Genomic DNA, 6678 nt, shown 5'->3' on the forward strand with positions numbered 1-6678 from the left:
AGTCAAAGTCACCGCTAATTTATTTACAGAACAATCTCCTTGCCCAGGAGCTGGGCTGGTGAGGCAGTGGTTTCCAGCCTCCAGCTTTGTTTGTTGACAGGCTGATTTCCCACAAGGCCGTTTCCACCTGTGTTTCTGTTGTTTTTAGTACGTGTCTCCCTTTCTTCTCCCCCGCCACCGCCTCCCCAATGGCTGTTGAAGGCCCTTCTCATCTCCGGTCTCTCTCATCCCCTTCCTCCCTCCTGCCCCAAGGACTCCTGGCAGGCCTTTGCAGTCACGCTGCACTTAGAGTCTCTGCCGGTAAAGTCCCAGGGGGCGCTGCATTTCTTTCTTTCTTTTTCTCCCCCCTTTTTTTGTTTCAAGGACAAGATTCAAAAGAGCCTGCTCCACACAGGTTGTAAGGTGCACCTTCAGATCTGTCTTCAAATAGGGGCTGAGCAATTTGAATATTTGTGCTCCTGGAAATCAGTCTGTAAAATCGTCTCCCAACGCCCATTAAATTCTGCAAAATTGCTAAGCTTTGAGAACTTCATGGTGGGGTCCAATCTGGGGCCCTGGCACCTCACTGCCAAAGCACGCATCCCCAAAGATACTTATAATGGAAATGACGGAGTGGCTGATTTGGCCCTAGCTTCTTGCATATCAAAGGCAGGAGGGCGGGAGGGAAGCATCCATAGAGCAGTCAGGATGCACCCCGCATGCCAGGTAATATATTGAGATGTTTAAAGCACACTGCTCGGCATGCACATGTGTCTGTCTCTCTGCTATTTTATACATTATCTGCAGGGCGGCAGGTACAAGGATAAGGCATGCTTTGAAGTCAGTGGCAGTGCCACCTGGGCATGGAGTGGGAAATAGGCATTATATAGCCTTTTTTCATATGACATATTTGCTATCTCCATGAGGAATACTTTGAGACCAGAAAAGAGATCACTGCGGCTATATAACCCACACCAAATCTTGCCACATTGGACCTATGATGTATTTACTGATTTTAAAAATACCAGAGGTATAATCTTGCCCAGAAAATGTGCCTCCACCCTAACTCCTCAGCCTCTTCATAGTATGTACAAATTGTTTTTCTGCATATTTTTTTTAACAAATGTTGTCTGTCTAGATTCAGAGATTTTTATTAGTGTGTTTGTGTTTAAAGGTGCTGGGTTAAAAATACCCCCTCATCGCCAAAGGAAGGCGAAGGGGGACAAAAAAAAAAAAAAAACACAGAGCTTTGTCCACTTGGAATTGGAGGGTAATCTGGAAAATTATAAAGAACTACAAGCCTGGCAAAGAGAATTTTGTTCTTTTCAGTGGTTGAAAAGAAGAGTAAAAAGGGTAAGACATGGCCTGTGGTTTCCATCCATCAGTAATGATACAATTAAACTGAAATAAGTTAACTTGGTTAACAGAATCTACTTTAACTCTCCTCCTGTCCACAGACTCCTACATCTTCTCTCTTCTCCCAGTCTCTGAGGTTTGTTTGCTACCAGGGATGTGGGATTCCCGGAGTCTAAGGATGCAACCATTCTTCAGTTCTTGTTCCTGAGCTCTCTGTGACCAAAAACTCCTATTTATTTTGAAAGCGGAAATAATGTTATTTCATTGCCTGCCTGCGTAACTCCAAGATGCCTGAAACAATTCTGCTCAAACTTCCTACCAACTCACCTTTGGGCTGAGACAAAACAGAGAAAGTTTGGGCCCCAAAGGACAATTTTTCAGAGAAGTTGGGAGCAGGTAGAGGCAAAGCCGAGTGATGAAACTCATCTGACAATTGTCATCTGCCCTCTTTGCATCTCTGGCCTCATTCTTCCCTGTCTCTTGGGGATGCCTTACTTTCCTTTCTTCTCTGTAATGTTAGCAGTCCCCCATTCCTTTCCCCTAGGCTGCTTGTCCTCTGGGATGAAGAAAAGGCTTTAAACCTGTAAACTGTATACATTTTCTCCAAAATCAACTTGAAACTCAGTCTGAATTGGATGGAGAGGATTCGCTTATGGAAGGAGCAGCTGTGTACCCACACACTGATAGAGACATCCCTGCTCTCGGAGGTGTTATGATTATGCGGGCTAAAAAGCTCAGATGTCTGAAGACTGGAGTTTCTTGTGTATATTTATATGAAGACTGTTCCCCTCCAGGACCATGAGGATGTGGAATGAGGCTGTTTTTCATTCCCCACCCAGTGGCTAATGCAGCTCAGAGACTGTATTTGGGAGTTGAGCCTACATGTAGTGAATCATCAGGAGCCCTGTGGAAATGAGCAAAGCAGGTGCAGTTTAAAGACCACATTCTCAGAGGTGCAAGAAGCTGAGCTTTCCCTTTCTCTAAGCTCAGTTTTGGTTTCAAGACTGATCCCCACTGATGAGGCAGAAACCTAATCTCTGTCAAAATGAGTTGTTTTTCCAATTCCTTTTCCCCAAGGGTGAGCTTTAATTCCAGCAATCCACATGGTTCCCAGACCTTTGGAAGATCAGCTCTCTGATCCTCCAGACAACCTTTCCTGAGCCGGATGTGGCCTGGCGATCCTTAGTTGGAATCCACGCTGGCTACTGCTGAGAGATTTCTGATTCCATCTTATCCCTCCAGCACTGGCAATTGACTTGTCTGCTTCTGTACCACCTGAGGGCAGGAGTGCTATTCTGTGACCAGGTTTCTCCCTTGGATATGGATCTCCTGGTTGTCTGTATGCGTGATCTTCCCTCATTCCCTGCTGGCGTTGGGGTACTCCGAGGCTCTGCCCCAGGAAGCAGAGAACAGAGCCCGTCTCTGGGACCCTTGGTGTTCCTGCCTCACCACCTCTTCTCCACTCTCTCCTCCTCGAGTCCAGAAGATCTGACTTCAATAGGAAGCCTAACTCTTCCTAAGCCTCCTTGTTCTCATCCTGATTCCTTTCCCAAACATTTTGTTATTGCCCACAATCCTCTTCGTTCCCCTAAGGACACACAAGCCTGAAAGGAACTCCTTTTTTCTCAACTTTGCATCCTCTTGCAGCCATTTTAAAAATATGCGACATGGACCACCGTAGGAAATGTTTTGCAGAAGAGAAAATCTGGAAGAAAAAGCATGTACAGATACCATTGAACCAACTATCCATGCTTTTTTGGATTAGTTGCAAAATCCCAGTTTACTTAACTTTTCTTTTGCCTAGAGACTGTTTAAATAACTTTTCTAAAACAGCCAATGAGAACAATGTACATAGTTAATGCTGGCAATTAGTATTTTTTTACTAAGCAATTCCTTTTAACAGTCTTTTAGATCATGTACACGGGCAGTTATAGTCTTTGAATTAGCACTGTGATTAAAAACACGAGCTTTGGAATCAGACCCAGTTCTGCTCTCACCTAACAGCTCAGTGGCCTTAGACAAATTAAAGAACTTTTCTAAGCTTCCGGGCCCTCATGTGTGAACGGCTTTAGTGTTGTTAGAAAGTGTAGATGAACTAATGTGTGCAAAACACCTAGCACCTAGTAAATATTGTGTTTCCTTTACTTGTCTCTTTGACTTTAGCACTCAGCTTGTATTTCCATGCACTGCCACTAGCACATGTTTCTTCTTATAAGAAGTCTGTAATATTACTGCTCTGAAAATGAAGTAGAATGGACTGAAGTGATAGTTTACAGTCAAAATTAAAAGATGGCAGAGAGAGAAATTCTTCCTGTCATCTCACTGGGGGAGCAGAACAATTGAGAGAAGAAACAGTAGATATATTTTTTCTTTAAGTTAATTATCATTATTAATATTATTATTATTATTATTATTATTTTTGAGATGCAGTCTCGCTCTGTCACCAGGCTGGAGGGCAGTGGCGTGATCTCAGCTCACTGCAACCTCCGCCTCCCAGGTTCAAGAGATTCTCTTGCCTCAGCCTCCTGAGTAGCTGGGACTACAGGCACATACCACCACGCCAAGCTAATTTTTATATTTTTAGTAAAGAAGAGGTTTCACAATGTTGGCCAGGATGGTCTCGACCTCTTGACCTCCTGATCTGCCCACCTTGGCCTCCCAAAGTGCTGGGATTACAGGCATGCGCCACCATGCCCTACCTTTTAAGTTAAGTTTTCTATAACTTATATCCAATATATTTTAAAAATTTAAGACAGTTCCCACTATAGCATATTAATATGTGTAGGAAGATAAATAAAATAAAGTTTGGAATTATGAGAATTGACATTGAAGAGGGGATGCTATTTGGTCAAATTTTGTGGTTGAACTTCAGACTTTCTCCTGAGCTCCCTAGAGGCCAAAGTAAAAAGGAAAACACAATGTATAGTTTGCATTATTGAAAGGGAGAGGCACATCAAAGAAGGTCAGAATGATATCAGGGAAATGAGAACTTCTTCCTCTTCTTCTTGACCTTATTATTATGTTGTCAATCTGTGGACTGGAGAGACTAAAAGAAATCAGATAGGAAGTGGCATAGAAGACAGACTAGAGAATTAAGTTTCTCTCTCTAAATGAACAAAGACTCCCTCAGAAAAAACTCTCCCTAGATCACTTAAAAGGAAAAGAAAAGAAAGGAAGTTGCCGGCTTGACAGAGCCTCAGAATATCCCCTGAAAGCTCTGGAGGCTCTATCTGGCATTGTGACCTCCATAGCAGCCCTTGCCACTGCCTTTGCATTAGAGGTGCAGCCTCTGGGAAAACCCTGCCAATCACCTTGCTGTACCAGCCAGTCCTGGGAAATTAAATTATAGCTCTTGATCCACTGGGCAAGTGGTAAGTCTCAATTACTCTGTGTAACGTAATAATCACAGTCCCTGCTCTTCTCTACTCCTAAAGTAGGTCCTCACACATAGGATCCAGAAGCTTAGAGAAGTCCTTTAATTTGCATAAGGCCACTGAGCCGTCAGGTGGGAGCAGAACCGTGTCTGATTCCAAAGCTCATGGTTTTTGTTTGTTTGTTTGTATTTTGAGACAGGATCTCACTCCGTCACCAAGGCTGGAGTGCAGTGGCATGATCTTGGCTCACTGCAACCACCATCTCCCAGGTTCAAGTGATTCTCCTGCCTCAGCCTCCCATGTAACTGAGATTACAGGCATTCACCACCACGCCTGTCTAATTTTTTTTTTTTTTTGTATTTTTAGTAGAGATGGGGTCTCACAATATTGGCCAGGCTGGTCTTGAACCCCTGGCCTCAAGTGATCCACCCATCTTGGCCTCTCAGAGTGCTGGGATTACAGGCATGAGCCACCGTGCCCAGCCCAAAGCTCATGTTTTTAATCACAGTGCTAATTTACAGACTATAACTGGCCATGTAAATGATCTAAAAGACTGTTAAAAGGAACTGTTTAGTATGAAAGTACTAATCATCAGTGTCATTATTCCCCCCCAAATACTTCCTAAATGTCTGTGTCATACCAGGCACTGTACTATACATTGAGGTTATAACTGTGAACAGTACAGACATTGTTTCTGCCTTTATCAGTACCTGAATTCTAGTGGGAAGTACAAATAAACAGAAAAATAAAATTATCAGAGCTAGAGATAAGTACTGGAAGAAAGAAACACAGGGCTTAGGGTAGAGAATATCCGGATCAGGAAAGGATTCCTGTTTGGGAGATTCAGGGATTGTTCATTTGAGAAACTGACATGTGAGCCAAGTCCTGATGGAGAGGTTACCAGACATACAAAGAAAAAGAATAGACCCTTCCAGACAGAGGAAAGAGCATGTACGAAGGTCCTGAAGTGGGAAAGAGCAGGGCATACAGAGGGGACATGAGCAGGTGGGAGATGGGTATAAGATATGCTTGGAGAGATAAGCAGGGCTCTTATCATGTAAGGCTTTGCGGCTATGAGAAGCGGCAGGTGCTTCATTCTGAGTGTTATGGGAAGCTATTGAAGGAGATGGAGCTTTACATAATCTTATTCGTGATTTAGGAAGACCACACTTACTGGTAATAGAGAACAGAACAAGAAGAGATGCAAAGAGGCAGTTAGTAAATGCATCACCATTTGTGTTTGCTGAGATGGAGGTATTTCCCAGCTTCCAAATTCCTCCAGGACATCTCATTTCATCAGATGGGCAGAATGCTAAAAAGAAGGAGCCTAGGTTTGACTGTTTGCTGGTTATTTTCTCCTAATCCCTCCAGAAAATTCCATACATATATTACTAGGTGAACCATTAAGTTGACTTCACAAATGAGGAATTACATGAGTTTTCTTAAAATGATATATGCTAATATTTCTTTGCTATTATTGTAGGTGTACCACGCAATGAGAAGAGGACATTTGCCTTTTTATTCCACTTCTCAACTTTAAAAATTGCCTTTACAGATCTTTATTTTCACTGACCCAGAAACTAGAGAAGTACAGAGAGAGAGAAACAGCCAACTCTTGTGCTGGGAATGGGGATGCTGAGGCTTGTGCAAGCTCTGTTCTTGTTGCGTGATGATAGGCAAGATGCTTCCCCTCCCTGAGTCTGCCTTTTCATCCTGTAAGTGAGGGCATTTGAAAAATAATCTCTAAGCTTATACCTTTATCTTCTAAGAGTCTATAACTCTTTAGTGTTGGGTTAGAGCAACGCAGAAGAGGTGGATCATTAGCTGCTGATTTTTCTGAGTGACAGCCTCATAGGAAATAGCATTGTGATCCTTTTACTATGTTTTGTGGTTCCTTTACCTGTAAACGTATTTTTCAGTTTAACATGTGGAAAACTCCATTTGGAAGCAGGCAGTTTTCATCCCCTTC

At 43.0% G+C, this 6678-nt stretch overlaps 1 annotated feature.

Moving 5' to 3' along the window:
• Positions 292 to 341: an enhancer, noted in NCBI's record as "active region_23535". NCBI's record gives its function as "activates an Ori minimal core promoter by ATAC-STARR-seq in GM12878 lymphoblastoid cells {active_cell/tissue: GM12878}" and the evidence as "EXISTENCE:reporter gene assay evidence [ECO:0000049][PMID:35858748]".

Source organism: Homo sapiens, chromosome 5 (assembly GCF_000001405.40).
Source record: "Homo sapiens chromosome 5, GRCh38.p14 Primary Assembly".
Taxonomy (NCBI): domain Eukaryota; kingdom Metazoa; phylum Chordata; class Mammalia; order Primates; family Hominidae; genus Homo; species Homo sapiens.